This window comes from Homo sapiens, chromosome 13 (genome assembly GCF_000001405.40).
Source record: "Homo sapiens chromosome 13, GRCh38.p14 Primary Assembly".
Classification (NCBI taxonomy): domain Eukaryota; kingdom Metazoa; phylum Chordata; class Mammalia; order Primates; family Hominidae; genus Homo; species Homo sapiens.
The window spans coordinates 33,634,136-33,654,240 of NC_000013.11; the positions used below are offsets into that span (position 1 = coordinate 33,634,136).

The 20,105-nt window shown below is 40.4% G+C and overlaps 1 protein-coding gene across 2 annotated transcripts in view, besides 2 other annotated features; it reads right to left on the bottom strand.

The window, feature by feature from the left end:
• Nucleotides 1-20,105, bottom strand: part of STARD13 (StAR related lipid transfer domain containing 13) — a 573,658-nt gene that overhangs the window by 530,999 nt on the left and 22,554 nt on the right. The window lies entirely within an intron of this gene.
• Nucleotides 2,993-3,242: an enhancer, noted in NCBI's record as "active region_7582". NCBI's record gives its function as "activates an Ori minimal core promoter by ATAC-STARR-seq in GM12878 lymphoblastoid cells {active_cell/tissue: GM12878}" and the evidence as "EXISTENCE:reporter gene assay evidence [ECO:0000049][PMID:35858748]".
• Nucleotides 5,579-5,718: an enhancer, noted in NCBI's record as "active region_7583". NCBI's record gives its function as "activates an Ori minimal core promoter by ATAC-STARR-seq in GM12878 lymphoblastoid cells {active_cell/tissue: GM12878}" and the evidence as "EXISTENCE:reporter gene assay evidence [ECO:0000049][PMID:35858748]".

Here is a 20,105-nt window from a genome sequence, read left to right on the forward strand (position 1 = left end):
TCTTACCTCATAACAGAAAGGAAGATTTCTTACATACCTTATTCATGTTACAACCTGATTTATATCCCTGAGCTAAGAATTCTGAGTGGCATCATAGCATCTGAAAGCTTTTGCCAAAGACATGTCAGAACTCCTTTAAGGAGCAGATCACCCCATGAATTACTGACTTACCCAGCCTCAGTTACCTCACAGTTAAAGTATGCCTTCATGATCCAATGGGAGAAGCTGTTCAGTAAATGCATAGAATATTTCTCATTGTCATCAGGGGGTGTTTCCCAGAACTTTGGAACCGTTTCTAAACCCATAGCCCCAGGGTGTTTTCAAAGTTTGATTTACAAAATAAATAGACATCTAAAAGAGATTTTAGTCCCAAGCTATTTTTTTCTTTTTGCAGAAGTTATTAGATTTGAATAGATACCTCAAAGCCATTTTTTGAAATCAAAATTCTCCTTTCTTACATCCAAAATCCTGAAAGGAGCCTCGAGAGGTCACTACACTGCTTCTATGTTGTACCAGAACTGAATAGTTCAAATTACTGTTGCGTTTTGATAAACACCGCCCTGCCCCGCCGCCACACACACACATGCACACACACACAGTTTTCTTCTCCTACTTCTCTCTCGCTTGGTTGAATTACCCCACTGACAGAGAGAAAAACAACATTCACTGGCCTCCAGGGAAAGTGGTGTCGCTGCGAATGAAGGGTGGATAGAGGTGGTGAACCAGAAGACATGCTCTGTGTTGGCTGCAAAGGCTCTGGCTCTGTCATTTCCCCAGAATGTCCCCTGCAGATGCCTGGCAGTGGAAGATCAGCAGTGAAGGGCAGGAGAGAGGCAGCTATGCACCAGCTCTTCTTTGGAGATACTACCAAAGGGGAACATTTGAGATGCATTCAGGTCTTTTTAAAGGCATTTTTAAACCATATGTTAAAGAACCAAACAAAGTGGATATGGATCGCTTACGAAGTAAAGCCAGTTCTTGCCTTCGCTTTAGAAAATGCTTCCCTAGGCTCAGAGAAACCTTTTAAAGTGCCCACTCTGTGGACCCTCCACTTCATGTACAGGATGTACAAAAGAACAGCACAGCAGAGCAGGGCACTGACCATAGCACCAGACTGCCCGGGGTTAAAATCCCGTTTCTAACATGTGCTGCTCTATATCCTTGATTTAGTTTCCCTAATAAATGGAAACTAAATACCTACCTCACAGAGTTGTGAGAAAATGGATATAAAAACACTTAGCAGGCCGGTTGTGGTGGCTCACGCCTGTAATCCCAGCACTTTGGGAGGCTGAGGTGGGTGGATCATGAGGTCAGGAGATCGAGACCATCCTGGCTAACATGGTGAAACCCCATCTCTACTAAAAAATAGAAAAAATTAGCCGGGTGTGGTGGTGGGCGCCTGTAGTCCCAGCTACTCGGGAGGCTGAGGCAGGAGAATGGAGTGAACCTGGGAGGCAGAGCTTGCAGTGAGCTGAGATTGTGCCACCGCACCACTCCAGCCTGGGCGAGAGAGCAAGACTCCATCTCAAAAACAAAACAAACAAACAAAAAAAACACTTAGCACAGGCTGGGCGCAGTGGTTCACACCTGTAATCCCAGCATTTTGGGAGGCTGAGGTGGGCAGATCACTTGAGGTCAGGAGTTCAAGACCAGCCTGGCCAATGTGGCGACACCCCGTCTCTACTAAAAATACAAAAAATTAGCCGGGTGTGGTGGCGGGCACCTGTACTCCCAGCTACCTGGGAGACTGAGGCAGGAGAATGGCGTGAACCCGGGAGGCAGAGCTTGCGGTGAGCTGAGATAACGCCACTGCACTTCAGCCTGGGCGACAGAGTGAGACTCCATCTCAAAAAAACATTAGCTGGGCATGGTTGTGGGCACCCGTAATCCCAGCTACTCGGGAGTCTGAGACAGGAGAATAGCTTGAACCCAGGAAGTGGAGGTTGCAGTGAGCCAAGATCATACCATTGCACTAGCCTGGGTGACAGAGCGAGACTCTGTCTCAAAAAAAAAAAAAAAAAAAAAAGCACATAGCAGAACTTAGCAGAGATCATCACTCATAGTAAATACACTAAATGCTCAGTATATGGTAGTAAGACTGATTGCGATGATTTTTGTAGCCCCTGACACTTGCTTTCTCCTTAGTCTTCTATTTTAAAGAACACAAGAAACATGATTTGTCCCTGCTCTCCTAGAAAGGGGAAACTTGGAGGCTCAGCAGCTTTTCTCGCCATGACTCTTGCTGTGATTGCATTTTGAGTAGGGAACGTGTAAAATTCATTATCCAAACCCGGCTACTTTGGAGAGTGAAATGGAGTGTGAATGCGATGGGACACCAGGGCAATAGGCATAAACCGGGACTCTCCCAGGAACACTGGGAGTTTGGTTACCCTAATTATGGGACTATTCAAGAAACTGAAATTCTAAACCTTCTTCCTGTTTCAAAGTCTGAAGCTCAACTGGAGGCTAAGGTGATAATTTTCTCAGAAGTCTATTCCTGTATCTCCAGAAGAATAGGAGATAATTGCACTTGCTATTTTATCTTATACTTGCCATTTTACCCAGAAACTATTTTTAAAAAATGAGTCACAACAAGAAAGCATTATTGCTACTTTTATATTCCTTTGTCAAAAACCTTGGCTGGGTCGTCAGGACCCTGGATCCATTGCCCTGCTTGGATTATCACAATCCTCGTCCAAGTTATACCACTTACACAACCAGGCAGCTGGTTCTAGGGACCTCTGAGACCTCTAAGGGTTTAGAATTGTTTTTAATCTCCTGGAGTATTATTATGTAATAATGTCAGTGGTGTTATCTTTTCTAAACTCAGATTTTGCCTCCTTTTGGAAGTAGAGTTCAATCTAGGTTGTGAGCAACACACTACTCCTGAAAGCACCATGAAGGAATGAATAGTACCCTTACTCATCCTTATTTGGAATGTTTTATGTGCCAGACACTATAATTTCATGTAATCCCCACAGCAAACCTCTGTGGTAGGTACTGTCATCATCTGGAAAGAGGGGTCACTGAGACACAGAGAGAAGGTAAATGACTAATCAAGGTCTTACGACTAGTAAGCTGAAGCATGGCTTTAAATGGAGAGAGTGTGACTTCTCTGGCCATGTTCTAAACTCTGAGCCATTCAACAAAGTCGGGTGGCCTGAAGGAGGGGAAGAGGCCTCTACATTTCCACCACCACATTACAGGAAACAAAATTTATTTTGATCTTAGAAGCTGAAATAGTCATTTGCATGGCCCATACCCTCAAAGTGCTACCTTCTGGCCTAGGGGGTAAATGAGAACAAAACTTGTCGTGAGAAGGATAAACAGCCACAGGGTATGTTTTAACACATAGCCCTCTGAAGAATGCTGTTTCCATTGTGTAACTGGAAAGATCTGGAATATCAATATTATTTTGATTTCTCTCTGTGCTCATTGGGAACTCATTTCAAGGGCTCACCAATCTGTGTTGCAGACCAACATGTGATCCAACTTTCAACTAACATGGCATTTTCTATCAGGCTTCTTAGCAGTTCACACTTACTATTTTGCAGCTCATTCAAGGGCTATGATAATTACCTTGTCAAAGACTGAAAAATAGTTTCTAATCAACTCACACATTTTATCCTATGGAAAGAAATTCAAGGAAGTTACAATTAATGCTAACCCAGATAATTTGCTTCAAGGAAATAATTAAAAACAGGAGTTAAATTGACTTGAATTATATTGCTAAGTAAAATTCTTATAAAATGTAAAATAAATGGGTCTGAGTTTTGAATTTTAATTTTTGCAGAGTCAACTTTATTAACAGGTTAAAAAAATTCATGAAACATCAGCTATTGAACTCAATTTTCCAGATTTCTTTAGTCACTTGATTTGCTTCAGTCATAGTACCAATACTGTCTTTTATTCTGTTGATGAAAAGAGTCAAACTCTGTAAAATATTTGAAGGGATTTATTCTGAGCCAAATATGAGTGACTAATGGCCCATGACAGAGCCCTGGCTCTCCTAGAAAGGAGAGAATTGGAGGCTCAGCAGCTTCTCTCCATGACTCAGAAGATCCTGAGGACATGTACCCAGGGTAGTTGGGCTACAGCTCGGTTTTACACATTTTAGACATAAGACATCAATCAATACATGTAAGATACATGTCATCAATACATTTTAGTGAGACATAAGACATAAGTGAGACATAAGACATAAGTGAGACATAAGACATAAGACATCAATCAATACATGTAAGATATACACTGGTTCCTTCCAGAAAAGCAGGACACCTGGAAGGAGGGGAGCCTTCCAGGTCATAAGCAGATTCAAAGATTTCCTTATTGGCAATTGGTTGAAAGAGTTATTATCTAAAGACCTGAAATCAATAGAAAAGAGTGTCTGGGTTAAGATAAGGGATTGTAGAGACCAAGTTCCTTATCATGCAGATGAAGCCTCCAGGTAGCAGGCTTCAGAGAGAATAGATTGTAAATGTTTCTTTTCAGACTTAAAAAGTCTTTTCTATCAGTCTTAAGGTCTCTGTTTTAATGTTAGTGCTGGTCATCTGTGCCTGAATTCTAAAAGGAGGAAGGCATAATGAGGCATGTCTGACCCGCACTTCGCAGTACGTCCTGAACTAGTTTTTTGGATTAACTTTGGAATGCCCTTGGCTGAGGGTAGGGCCCATCAGTCACTTGGGGGTCTTAGAATTTTATTTTTGGTTTATAATTTTTTTGTTCAAAGCTGTTAGTTTTAAACTTCTAACCAAACTTGTGGTTATGTTTTATTTATTCATTCATTCACTTACATACTTTTTTTAGCTAACCTTTTTTTTTGGCATCTAATGACCTCAATTTACAAATTCATTCTTTCCGCAGATATTTGTGAACCAGACATTTTTCTAGGGGCTGGAGATAAAGTAGTGAATAAAAGTGAAAATTTTCTGCTCTCAAGTAGTTTGCAGCATAAGGGGAAAAGAAAGGAAGAAATGAGAAACAAATGGACAAATAAGATAATGCCAGATGATGACCAATGCTGCAAAGCCATAACAAGGGTGAGATGATGAAGAGTTGGAGAGTTAACAGGAGGAGGTTGCTTAAGTTCGAGTGGTCTGAGAGGCCTCTCAAGAAGAATTAGGGTGGAATTCAGTCATGGGAATACTTGTACCAAGGCCATGTGGGACTGAGGGAGAAGCAGGTCCCAGGCCTTGAGCATCTGCTATCTGCCAGGGCTGTCTGGGAGACGGATGATTCAAAGTTGCACAAGAACAGCCGTGGTCTTTGCCCTTGTGAAGTTTATTGTCTGCAGGAAAATAAAGTCCTGCCTCCAAGGAAGTCCTGATTGGTTGAGAAAATAGATATGTAAGTCACTGTAATATAGAAAAATTCTCCTAGTAGGTACCAACATGAAAGCAGAAAGAAGGGAATGATCCAGTTTCCCTGGTGTTAAATTATGTTTAGCCCAAAGCTGCCTCCTTACATATTTGAAGTTTAGATTAATGGTTTCTCTGTATGTAGTGAACTGTAACCTAACTGGATGTGTAAACAGACTGTCACTTACTCCTGTGCCAATCACCAACTTTTGGCCAAAGGCAGACAACTGTTCAAACTTCATTCAAATAAGGCAAAAGCCAAACTGTAATCAACCCAGCTGTTCTGTACCTCACTTCCGTTTTCTGTACATCACTTTCCTTTTTCTGTTCATAAATCCTTTCCAATCACATGGCCACATGGAGTCTCTCTGAATCTATTCTAGTTGGTGGGTGGCGGGGACTACCCGATTCATGAATCATTCTTTGCCCAATGAAACTTTGTTAAATTGTACTTGTCAATGGGTTTTTCTCTCGACATTGGGTAGAGCAATGGGTGAGAGGAGACCTTCTAGGGGAATTTGCCTGGGGATAGTGAGTCACATTGCTGGCTTCCTAAAGCAGGTGTACAATCTACCATGAGTTGCTGTTTTCAGTCATAGAGAAAGATATTCTCCTTGTGCTTCTGCCTAGTTTTCCCTTAACAGGCCCACAAGGGTGTCAGTGATTTCTGTGTCTTAGGCACCATTTCTCATTGTGATCTCTACACAGCAGGTTGTGGTGTGCCCAGAGCTTCTGCAAGCTGCCCGTATCTGCAAGCTGCCCATATCTTTGTCTTTAAACCAGAATCCTTTCTTGAAAACAAATGAGCTTTCCCTAAACCCTGTAATTCGACTACAAATGCAATATTCAAATAGCCTGTAATTGGAATATAAATAACTTCTAATAGGCCATGTAAATGAGGGTGTTAATGTATTATGAATCAGCTGAGGAAAATAGCAAGGACTGTATTCTCTTCCCTCTTCACTCTCCCTCCAGCCTGGAGTTCCATTCAGTGAGTGTTTCACTGAAAACATACCACCTCCTTCCTTCCCTCACTAAGCACAAGAGACCCAGAGTCCCTGCCATTTAATCATGGATTTGGCAGATGGTTTTGTTATTTGTCAAATAAATCTCATTCTATCAATTACTTGTGAGAATCTTCAGACAGGAGATCCTTCAGTTCCATGCAGGCTTGTAAATGTCCCTGCTCAGAAATACAATTTGAGGAAAGCTCTTAAGGCACCAAGAGGAAGTGAGTACATGAGAATCTCCTGGTTGGGACTGATCCCAATCTCAGATCAAGGAGTGAAGGGAGGGAAAAACACTGATAGTAGGTGGAGAATAGGAATTGTTTTTCTTTTTTCCTCCTTTTCTAATATAAGGGAAGCTGGGAGGAATCTCTTGGCCTCCCTGAAGTTCAAAGGTCACTGATATGAGGCACATGAATAGGAGAAAAGGCATACACATTTATTTAATGTGTATACACAGGAGCCTTCAGAATGAAGACCCAAAGACACAGGGGGAATTGTTCATCTTTAGGCTTAGGTTCAACAAAGTATGCACAGCCATGTAGAAATAGGACTAGACACAAAGGGTATGATCTAATGCTGATAGACTGAGTGGGGAAACCCAGCAAAGCCTGTGTGTCTAGATCCTGCTTGGCCTCTATGAGCATGCATTCCTTCATTCTGAGTATGGGGCAGGACTCTCTCTAGAATAGGGTTCTTATGGCCTACAGTCAAACAACTAAGTCAGATCATTTCCTTTCTTTTCTTTTTTCTTTTTCTTAAACAGAGACAGGGTCTCACCATGTTGTCAACGCTGCTTTCAAACTCCTGAGCTCAAATGATCCTCCCACCTTTGCCTCCCAAAGACTGCTGGGTTTATAAGTGTGAGGCCACCACACACAGCTCAGGTAATTTATTTATGGCCAGTTTTTACACAGAAAGGTGGAAGGAAACTTAGAGTCATATTTTAGGTTTTATGGCTAGCTCTGGGAATGAGAGTTCTGGTTTCTATGACCCACCTTGGGGAAGAGTGATTCTAGTTTCTATGGCTAGCTTTGGGAAAGAATGGGATTGAGAGACAGGAGGGCAGGAGAAGATCAGAGAAAAAGTTTTGCTTATGAAACTACTTCTGAGGTCTTCATTTTGGGGTATTGTTTTCTGAGCCCCAACAAGCCCATACTTTATTGAGTGTCTACTGTACTCCTGGAACCGTGCTGTATGGCTGTTTTCTCTCATTTAATTTCCAGAAGAAGCCTGTGATATACTGATTATTATTCTCATTTGTTCGAGATCAGGAAACCGAATTCCAGAAAATCGAGCAGCTGGATCGTGTAACTTTTGGTAGCAAAAGTTTTTGTCTACTCTGTCCCATACAAACTACTGGAATAGAAATGAACAGGATTGTGATATTTTTGTCATGCTAATGTAAAAAGGAAAAAGAAATACTGACTCTGTTAATTTTAAGCTATAACTATTGCATAACAATGATAGATACAACTATTATCTACCAATGGTGGTGCTCATTCTAGACTCTAGGCTCTTTGAAAATAGTAATTTGTCTTTTTCATCTTTGTGTCTTCCCTTCTTTTCTTTCCCGTCACCCTACTGAAAAACATTGTATTGATACAGAGTACTGGCAAGAGGGTAGTTGGATGAATGACTAAATTAATGAATTGATGAGGGTGATTGATCTTTTCTGACGTTTACCTAGGAGAAAAGGATAACAGTCTAGAGGGTAAAGCTTGGGAGGTAGGGAATGTGAATAAATTAGAGCTCAAAAAATAAACACCTGGATTTAACAAATGCTTAAGTGAGGGAGGTGTGATCAGCAATGCAGACAGAAGGCTGCATTCAGCAGCCAATTTAAGAAAGATGCTTGAGAAGTTTCAAGACAAAGAGAATTTGAGCAAAAGTTGGTGGGCCTGGAGCAAAGCTCCAGCCAGGGAGAAGAGTCTGTGGCAAGAACACAGGACGGCTGTGGGTCTGGTCACTCAAGAGTCAGGCACTTCCTGTGCTTCAGGCCCCCTGCAGAAACTTGTCTCTTCTTGAAGGCTTCCAAACATTCCAAGGGGTGACTCCCAGGAGCCCCGTTTACAAGTTAATCAGCAGAAGCTTACAAGATCCAGCTGCTTAATTTTCTGGACTTCAGTTTCCTGATCTCAAACATCCAAGAGGCCTTAAATAACCTGCCCTGAGTCACACAGTCAGTAAATGGCGCAGGTGGGATTTAGTAACATCTGGCTGACTCCAGCCTCTCCTGCTCTGTCTATCGCCCTGTGTTTCCTCAAAGGCCGGATGACAGTGGGGGCTGTGAGATCCCCAGATACTGCAGAGGAATGCTGGGAACAAACAAACAAACATTAAAAAAAAAAAAAAAAAACCTCCCTACTTGCTTCAGAACAAATAAAGCTGAGATCAAGGAAGCCAGGTTTGGACTGAGGCAAGAGGTCAGGGTGAACTCATACACAAGGACAGAGTTTCCACACAATAAATATTTATTAAGCAATCGCCCTGCAATGAAGGCCTGCAAGAGATGGATCACTGCTTCCAGCTGCTCGGGAAAGGAGAGCCATACAGCTTTCTCACAAATATGCATGCATGTATAATACGAAATGCATTGCTGTACCTTGAGATTCTCTTAAATACCAGTGAAGTGAGTTGGGTACTTTACATAGAACATGCACACACACACACACACACACACACACACACACACACACACACAGATAGAGGAGGACTTTTAGGAAGAGCTTGACTGTCTTCTCTGGTTCCTCCTGCAGAAATCTTCAGCAGTCCCTGATGCCTAAAAGAACGCTGCGTATTTGCCTGTTTTGCCTCCATAAGGGAAGTGTCCTGCCCACCACGCCTTCAAAAGGAATGGCCTTCAGGCCTTGTCCTTGGTTCCATTTGACCCTGTCCTGGCCACAGCCAGCTGGACTAGGGGTGGGCACTCAGCACCAGCAGCCAAGCCAACAGCCGGCTGGAGACTCATAGTGTGGCCCAGAATAAAGTCAGGGCTGAGTCAACCAGACTCTATCTTGGGAATGTGAATTGAGAAATATAGACTTGAGATCAGTTTGTTCACGAGACACAATAAAGGAAATTAGCTTTGGAGAAAGTTCTTTGTCAGGAACTCTCCTGTCGCACACCCGGTTCAGTTTGGTTTTGCAGGTCAGCATACTTTCAGCTGGTGAACGGGTGCCAGTCTGCCATGGGGCAGGCATCCTCACTTCCCCCCAGCGCCTCTCTCACCTGGTCTAAGCCGCTGGTGAGCAGCTCACACTGCACGCTTCTTAAACTTCCCCAACAACTCTCCTAACTCAGACTACTCTCTTGCATCAGTGAACTCTCCATGCCCTCCTTGCTTCCCCCAGGAGATTCTAGACATCTGCTGAGAGAGGCTGGATGGGGAGATGGGCTAAGATTCAAAACTCCAGTTTGGACACCTCTTAGCAAGGGCTGCAGGTAGGAGATATCTGGCTGCTCCTCCAGGTTCTCCTTTAAAAATTGAGGACTCTTCCTACTTGTTAGCTTCAGTTTTGAGGATTTAACTAAAATTATGAAACAACAGGGAAATTCCCAATTGGCAACCTTTTACAAAAGGATGGGAGCTGAACCTGCACAGTTGAGAAGCTTTAAGGACAAGAATGGACCACCCATGTGCAAAACAAGGCAGTGCGGGAGAATCGGAGAGGGTTGAAAGCATGGGCTCCAGGGGCCCCACAGTACTGGACTCAGGCCTGGTCTGGCCATTTCTTGGGTGTGTGACTTGGGACAACACTAACATCTTTCTAGCCTAATTTCTTCACCTGTAAAATGGAGAAAATAATAGTCCATTCAGATAATTATCACAAAGTTAGTCCAAGTAAGCAAAAGCTACCTATAACAGGAAGAGCCCTGGCCCTTGGGGGTAGCATCACATAGGCAGAGATGTGAATGGTGCCTGATTCCCGAATGCCGGGAAAATGAATTGGGTACTTTGCACAGCGCACACACAGAGACACGCAACACTCACATACACATACAGAGATGACAGAAGTTTAGGAAGATCTTGTTGGTAGAGAGGAGACAGAGAAAAACAGAGATACAATGAGAGGCAGAGAGAGTTGAAGAGGCGTCATGCGGCCATGAAAGAGAGGGGGAGGTCAGTTCCTAGAGCTGACAGATTTCTACTTCCAGCTGTTCTTCCACTCCAAGCCTATAATTGACAAAACAAAACAAAACGAAAAAGCACTAGCAACTACTTGTGGGTGAGTCTGTGTTCCAAAAAAGCAGAACTAAACCAATGAGCAACCTCCTGAAATGCTCCACTCCCTCCCCTGGGAGTTTCTCTGGACAGATCTTAAATATGGGCTTTTCTAGGAATAATGACACTCAAATGTTGAGATGGCTCCAATATAACAATATGCATGTGACAGACTTGCATCATTAGAGTACAAAACCTTCAAGTCAGAAATAGTAAGCTAAAACACATGGAAATTTTCTTTCTGGGCAGAATCTTGCTGTGGTTTTATTACAAATACTTTGGTAGTAGTTCTTTGTGGTAGATTGCTTCCAAAGATGGAAGCAGGAGTCTCTTGCAACGTGACCTCGCCGTTCCTCCCACTAAGAGGGGGAGTCTCTTTCCCTTCCCCTTGACCCTTGGCTGGCATTGTGACTTATGTTGACTGATAAGATGTGGCAGAAGTGAAGGTGGGTGATCTACAAGCCTCCGTTACAAGATGTCTTGCAGTGTTCATTTTGGCCCTCCTGCAGGCCCTGAGACCTCCATGTACAAAGGCCTTGCTTAGCCTTCTTGAGGCCTGGAAACCACAGGGAGAGAAAGGCCTCACTAACAGCCAGCATCAACTGTCATCAGTGAGGCCATCTTAGACAATTCACAGACAGCCAAGCTACCAGATGATGTGTCTATAGGTGGATTCACCCAGCTGAGCTCAGCCCGAATCACTTGCCCACAGAATTGTGAGTAAATAGTGTCTTCAAGCCACAAAAGTGAGGGGTGTTCTGTTACACAGAAACAGATCATGGACTCAAGGATATACCACTTTCCTCATTGTAAGCAGGTGCTCTTTTAACTATGAAGTAGGAAGGAGGGCAGCACATTCACATAACCAACCTATAGTAGAATTTGGGCAGCCAAAGTCTAAAGGGATTATTGTGTTAGGAATTTATTATCATTAAACAAAAAATGATTGTTTAGCCATGTGAACAGCAGGTGTTGGCCCTCAGTTCTATCTCTTAAAGATAGAAGCAAGTGGCTTTAGAGTGGGGTGGCAGAGCTTGCTCTTGGGGCTGTTTGATTTGTCCAAAAGCTTGCCCACAGGAATGCCTGTGGGGGTCAACTTCTCCTTAAGCCAGGGTGTCACTTAAGGTGGATCTTATTTGCAAGTATCAGCAGCAATATCACCAAGGGGATTTCCCTTTTCTTTTCCTTCTGACAACTATTGCAACTAATTAAGAATTCTGTGACATTTTAGCTGGAGAATATTACCCAGAAAACACATCTGAGTAATAAGGGACACACGGACACAGGCTATTGTCACAGAGATAGTAATGTTTTTAACACGGACAAAAAGCTTATCAAAGCAAATGCAAAATCAGTTAATCTGGTTAAGTCCAATTGCAAGAGTAAAACCTGTAATGACTGCACATACTCAGAGAGCATGTCCCAGGTGCATGCTTTTGACTGTCAGATAGGTCCCGTTCTTTTTCATTAAATAACTACACTGGTCTATAACTAGTCCTCACCCAACTCATTTTCCTTTTTGGCCAAGGAAAATAATCTCCATGGTATTCATATAAGATCTTAAAACGCGACATGGTAAAATAAATATCCTGTTGCTCTTTTTGTTTGTTTGAATCTTTCTATCAGTGGTCCCTGTAAGGGAAAAACATTCTGCCTCGGGATATACAGAGGTAAGTGGCGGAGAGGACACGAAGCACTCATGGGTTCAGTATAGAGGAATACAAGGACTCTGGGAAGTTCTGCGAATTCCCACACATCATGGCTGTCGGCTGCTCAGCACTTGCCTAAGCTCTAGCAGACCTCAGCAATAGGAAAAGTCAGGCATGGTGTCTCTGGGGATAAAGTTGCTATTGGCTAGTTTGTGATGTCACACATAGAATTTTGCTTTGCCATAGGGATGAGACACAGGAATCAAAGCTGTCATTTTGCAGCTTTGAAATCACACACAAGTTTGACTTTTTTTTTTTAATGAAATTTAGGTCAACTGTAACTATTCTGAAATTCTGGCAAAAGGATAGGAGGAGAGTGTTAAGATATTACATTCCTGCAAAATTCAAATCAGTGAAATGTTACATGCAAATTCTTTTAAAAAGTGGAAGGTGTTATATAATACAATATTTTATTTATTTGCTAGATTTTAAATAAAATATTTTTGAAAGAGTAATATTTTATGAGGAATTTAAAAATTCATTGGTACAAAAATTAATGATAAAAAGAAATTACTTCATACACATTGGGTTCTCCTTTTGTATCTAACAATTACATAGAGAAGTATGCAGCCCCCCCTAAAATATAAAATAAAAAATTTAAAAGGAAATGTTCCTTTAAGGAAGTCTTCCACCAGTTCCAACAATTAACTTAAAATGTTTTTGCATTTTACTAATGTTTGACTAGTTCCTCCTTAACTTTGATGTCTACAGTTTAAAAGGGCCCTGCCTGTAGCTGTCTTAGAAGGGTTTGATGGCATGTGAACGGATTTGATGTCCTTGGAAGAAAGGTAGAATCACACAGAAATTCAAAATATGTTTTTCTTTACATCCACATCCCATGGGACTCAAAAAAATTTTATCTCCCAAAACATTTATCTCAATCATACTAGTAATTTCTATAATTTACTTCATTGTAGAAAAAGCATATATTTAATATTTAGGGCTAAGAAAACAGCTTCCACTGTGCCTTTTTCCCAGTTGTACACTGTCCTGGATGACTGTCTAGTAGTTCAGGTCAACAGAGGTCATTCAGCAGCCCCTTCCCCTCCCTGCTCCTTATCTCAAATAAAATATTTAAACTGATTCATGTAGTTTGGCTCCATAAATTGATCTAATTCTTCAAATACTCACCTAAACCCTATTTTCTTAATACTAACAATGACAGTCCCATTAGTTGGAAACTATCTTGAAGGACCTTGAGCAAAGAGTTTGACATATCTAGGTTGTTGAATCCCTGTTCATAATGTGGTTATGTATTCAAGACACAGTAAATGGGAAAGATCTAGCAAAGGTTTTGGTCCCATTGAATTCTGCCTTAGTGTTTGGCAGAATAGGCTCTAAAAGCTTATTCTGACACATGCGGAAAATAAGCTGACGCTTCTCTTTATTGTTTTCATTCCTCAACATTTACATTGTTGTGTATAAATATACAATACATATATAATCAAATAATATACAATTAAATAAATATACAATTAAATAATCAGGTATTCAGTGAATGAATATACTCATTTTTAATATAGTCTTATCTCATAAAGGACAATGATACGTGCTCTGTTCTAGGATATAGGAGACTTAAGGTCTGTTTCTATGTGCTGTGCATCCTTGGAGAAATGAAATAAAAGCATATTTATAAGCTGAGTTTTATTTTAATCTTTCCAACTGCCTCATGACAAACAAGCCTACATGACAAACAAGTACATTATAAACACTAAAAAGGCATATTATATTATCTCTGACAAAATACACAAGATGACATTATGGAAAGTAACTAAGGAAGGTAAGAGGTAGACAATATGATTTCTATTTTCCTGTGTGGAAACTGAGTCTCAGAGAAATTAATTGACTTGCCGAGGCTCACTAGCTGGATGAGCAGAGGCTTTGAATCCATGTCTCTCACACTCTGCAGCCCAAGCTCTTACCTACTACTTTGGGTTCTAGTACAGCGGTTTCAGCCGATCTGGGGTCAAATCGTAGCTCTGCCACTTACCAGCTATGCAGACTAGGTAAGTTACTTTACTTTTTTTCGTGTTTGGAATACAGGAATACTGCTATTTAGTCCAGAATATTGGAAGGATGAAATGTGGCATAGTATGGAAAGGATTCCCATGTAGTAGTTTCTAAGTCAACATTAACTCCTTAATTTTCCTTCTTGCCTAGGCCTCAGTTTCCTTCTCTGTGTATTAAGGAGGTCCTTAGGGCTTTCAAAACATCAAAGAACAGCTGGTTCAATCTTGTCAATTTATAATTTAAAAGAGAAGTGGCTTTCCCCAAATCACAGCTACTTACCAAAGAGTTTGTGTTCTCTTAGCAATAGTTTTTATGATGCTCTTTTTTTCTTTTCTCTTTCTTTTTTTTTTTTTTTTTTTTTTTTTGAGACAGAATTTCGCTCTTGTTGCCCAGGCTGGAGTACAATGGTGTGATCTCGGGTCACCGCAACCTCCGCCTCCCAGGTTCAAGCGATTCTCCTGCTTCAGCCTTCCCTAGTAGCTGGGATTACAGGCATGCATCACCATGCCCAGCTAATTTTGTATTTTTTTTAGTAGAGATGGGGTTTCTCCATGTTGGTCAGGCTGGCTTGAACTCCCGACCTGAGGTGATCGCCTGCCTCGGCCTCCCAAAGTGCTGGGATTACAGGCATGAGCCACTGCGCCCAGCCTGTGATGCTCTTAAAATGAGACTTGGACCTAATTTGAACAAATTATCTAGGATCTTGATACTCTAGAGTCCAGATAATTAGCAAAATTGTAGTTATTGTATTTTGTTTGTTTTGGGAGTTTGGCCCAGGTTAGCTAACACACGTTTATTGCATATTTACTGCTAGGTGAAAGGCCCTTCACAGTTATTGTTTTTTCAGTCTGAAATGCACTTCTCTCGACTTTTCTTGGCTTTCCGTTTCTCATTTTTCAGGTCTAAGCTCAAATATGTTCTCTTTGAGAGGCCTTCTCTGATAGTCTTAATCACCTTCTACCTCCCACATCCCCCAGTTACTTTCCATAACGTCATCTTGTGTATTTCATTAGAGATACTTAATATAATATGCCTTTTTAGTGTTTATAATTTACTTGTTTGTCATTTCTCTGGCTATACCGAATATAAACATCATAAAGGGATCTTGTCAGCATGTTTTCATTGTAATATCTCCTGCCCTAAGCCAGAGCCTGTCACATGATAGGTTCAAAATAAATATTGGTTTAATGACTATCTCCATCCATTACCTTTCCTCAAAACACTTGATGTCAAAACACTCTAAAATAGAGATGAGGGCTTGGTAATTTAACTTCTGAATTTAAAAAAAATTGACCTTGGTAGTTAGGGTAAAAGAGGTAACAAAATCTTTTTCTCAGGCAAATAGGAAGAAGCCAGCACATTCCATTGCTGTGAGTGACTCTGACTTTAAAGACAGTTGGAAGCAATAAAAATAAAACCAAAACCACCCCAATTAATAAAAAATAAAAATTAATAGTCGTTGTGAAATATAGTTTGTCTAAGGTTTTATTCTTAGTATTTGTCATACCTTCTAAACATTTGGCCAGGGAAATTTCATATTCCCTTTTTTCCTGGCTCACAGGAATTACTCTCAGCCACTTGAGTGCCAAATCCAGACACTCACATGAAACAAACCGCAGCCTCAACTGCTTCTGACTGGGGATGAAGAGTGACAAACAGTCACTTTTTTATTTGGCGGTGGAGCCTATTTGGTCCCACACCTGAATGTGACGTGACTCCAATTTTTTTTTTTTTTTTTTTTTTTTTTTTTTTTTTTTTTTTTTTTGAGACGGCATCTCACTCTGTCACCCAGCCTGGAGTGCAGTGGCGCGATCTCTGCTCACTGCAAGCTCCGCCTCCCGGGTTCACGCCATTCTCCTGCCTCAGCCTCCCAAGTAGCTGGGACTACAGGCGCCCGCCACTACGCCCGGCTAATTTTTTGTATTTTTAGTAGAGACGGGGTTTCACCGTTTTAGCCGGGATGGTCTCGATCTCCTGACCTCGTGATCCGCCCGCCTCGGCCTCCCAAAGTGCTGGGATTACAGGCGTGAGCCACCGCGCCCGGCCGACTCCAATTTTTAAAACATTACATTTTAAAGTCATAAGCCTTTTGGCGCTTTAACTTAGAGAGATCTGAGAATTGAATTCTTAATCTTTACTCTAAAGAAGAACTTGTGTAAAAGTAAAATTCAGTAATTGGTCCTGGAGGGATAAAACAGAAGCCACAGATGAAGGTGTGCATGCTATGATTTGAATGTGTGTGTCCCTCCAAAATTCATATGTTGGAACTTAACTCCCAAAGAGATGATGTTAATAAGTGGGCCAATTGGGAGGTGATTACGCCACAAGGGCTCTGCCCCTGTGAATGCAGTAAGTCCTCTTATAAAAAGCTTAGCATGAGCTCCAGAGCCCGCTTTCTGCCTTTCTACCATGTGAGGACACAGTGTCAATCCCCTCTGGGGGAAGGCCTTCTTAAAAGCAGAGAGTGGCCCTCGCCAGACACTGATCTTACTGGCACCTTGATCTTGGAATTCCCAGCCTCAAGAACTGTGAAAAATAAATTTCTGTTTTTTCTAAACTACCCAGTCTTTGGTGGTTTGTTATAGCAACACTCATGGACTAAGACAAGGTGGATAATATCAAGGATAATTCTGAGCTTGTTCATGTCCACAAACATTGGCTTTTATCACAAAGCTTTACTAAGCAACTTCCTTATTATGTTTTAAAAAGCTAGGGATGTAGCAAGAAACATAATATTTTAGATCTGAGATCTGTTCTTCTTAATAAAAAATCATGATTTTTAAAAATTAACTACTTTTAATTCCCACAGGTATCTCACAGTTATTGTCTCGAATTATTCCCCAACTCACTTTCATTAAAAAATGAAAATGTACGCACTACAGGAGTTGTAAGACATCAAAGAAAAATAATTTAAGCTTTTTATCACTTTCGAAGTATTACATTTCAATGTGTTCATAAACTAGCGTGATCATCATTCCGGGTTGCATAGGATAGTCCCATTTCATGCCTCTAATCCAAGCATAGTAATTACTTACACCCCCTGTCATTCTTAAAAATATCTGGTTTGGACAATAAATTATATGATTTGATCATTCTAACAACAGCTCATTAAACTTTGAGATGTTTGATTAAGGAGAAAGTGTCTTTTTAATCTCTGTTTCCCCAAAGCCTAATGCCATGTCTGGCACAAGATTTTTACAGCTGGTTAACAATAGCTGTAAATTCCTTGGTGTTACTCTCATCTGGAGGTGAGCTCCAGTTCCCTTCTTTAGGAATATTAGCCAGACTGTGACTACTGTGCCTAATAGAGTATGTTGGAATTATGCTACCTTTCACCCCTTCTCTAGGAGTCTGAAGCACTCTGCAAGAAGTCCTTCCACTCTGCTGGCGAAAGTAGAGAGGAAATGAGAATGGGCCTAGCTGAGCTCACCTTCCTCTCTCCCCACCAAGGCATCAGGGATGTGAGTGAAGCCATCCTGGACCCTTCAGGCCAGATCAGCTGTCTGGCGAATATCAACAAGTGACTTGAATGAATGACAGTGTCATGTTGAGCAGAAGAACAGTGTCATGTTGAGCAGTGCCACGTTGAGCAGAACTGCCCAGTTGGTCTCTGCCTGAATTCCTGACCCACAAGATTATGATCTATAATAAAATGCTTATTGTTTCAATCCATCAAATATTTGTTCTAAACAATAGAAAACCAGAACCACAGCCCTCAATAAATCTTTCTTGAACTGAACTGACCAAAATGCCCCAGCATTTGGGAATTTTTGGTTATGACATTTGTACAGATATTCTCCCTCCTCAGCTTCAGCTCAGCCTAATTAGATTCATACAACATAGAAATGAGAGGCAGGAATTTTGATAATTTAACTTAACACTAAGTTTAACTTAATACCAAGTTCAAATTTTGGTGAAGACGAATTTAAGCCACAATTTGATGATTGCATATGTGATAAAGTCACACATGGACTTTAATAAATCAAAATCTCTAGATTCTAAACAATAAACATCATTGAAAGTTATTCTGTAATTTTTCCCCATACATTTTATTCACAATCTACTCCTCATATGGGTACAGAAAGTAAAACTCTTAACAGCTTCATAATTCCATAGGCTATAAAAACACATGAATTCCCAAACCATTATTGTCTTCAAAGCCAATATAATGGAGCACAAAAATATTTTCATTAATGACATACACATGAAATTAATGAGTCAGTTATATCTGGTTTTAATTTCAATGAACTACTTAGGAGAAAAAATGTTGGGCAAGTTCCCTAACTTCTTTGAGCTTTGGTTTCTTTTTCTGTAGATTGGGAATAGTAATAGCAACTACCAAAATTTGTAGAGTAGATTCAATGAGACAATGTGTTGGTCAAATATCTGGTATCTAGTAGGTAGTGATATCTGTTTCTTAATGATACTACTTATATTTCTAATTTTTGATACATTAAAAATGACCATCATATACAATAAGGTATGACATCAAAAGAAGAAAATACTTAGGATAAATTTAACAAAAATAGTGCCAGACTTTTAGAGTGGAAAAACTATAAAACATCACTAAAAGAGATTAAGAAGATGCAAGTTAATGGAGAGATATCTCATGCCTCTTGGATTGAACAACTTAATATTGTTAAGATAGCCATACTGCTCAAATTGATATAGAGATTCAATGTAATCTCTATCAAATTCCGAGACATGTGCTTTGCAAAAATTGAGAAGCAGATCCTAAAATTCACGGAGAAATTCAAGTGATACAGAATAGCCAAAACACTCTTGAGGAAGACGAACAAAGTTACAAGACTCAAACTTCCCTCTTCCCAAACTTATTATAAACTTGCAGTAATCAAAACAGTGTGGTAGAGGCAGTAAGGATAGACATATAGACTAATGGAATAGGACTCAGAATCCAAAAATAAACCCATACCTCTGTGGTCAATTGATTTTTGACAAGAATGCCAATGCTATTTAACGGGGGAAAGAAAAGCCTTTTCAACAAATGATGCTGAGACAACTGAATATCCATTTGCAAAAGAATGAAGTTGGAAAACTAGTTTATATTATATACAAACATTAACTCGAAATGGACCAAATACCTAAATGTAGGAGATAAAATTATAATGCTCTTAGAACAAAATGTAGAAGAATAAATCTTTGTGGCCAATTAGGCACTAGTTTCTTAGATATGACACCAAAAGTACAAGCAGCAAAACAGAAAAAAGATCAATTGGATTTTATGAAAATTAAATATTTTGTGCTGCAGAGGACACTATCAAGAAAGTGAAAAGATAAACCACAAAATTGAGGAAGATATTTGTAAATCACTTATCTGATAAGGGATTAACATCCAGAATATACAAAGATCTCTTACAACTCTACAACAAAGGGATGAGTAACGCAATTTAAAAAATGGGCAAATGATTTAAATAGACATCTTCCTAAATAACATATACAAATGGCCAACCCACACATGAAAATATTTCCAACAGCATTAATCATTAAGGACATGCAAATCAAAACCACAATGAGATACCACTTCACAGCAACTAGAATGGTTATCATAAAAAAGACAGACAATAACAAGCATTGGTGAACATGAGGAGAAATTGAATCCTCATACATTGCTAGTGAGAATGTAAAATGGTGCTGCCACTTTGGGGAAAGTTCCTCAAAAAGTTAAACATAGTTACCACATGACCCAGCAATTCCATTCCTAAGTATGTACACAAGACAAATGAAAACATGTGCATGCATGTTTATAATAGCCCAAAGAGTAAACAACCCAAATGTC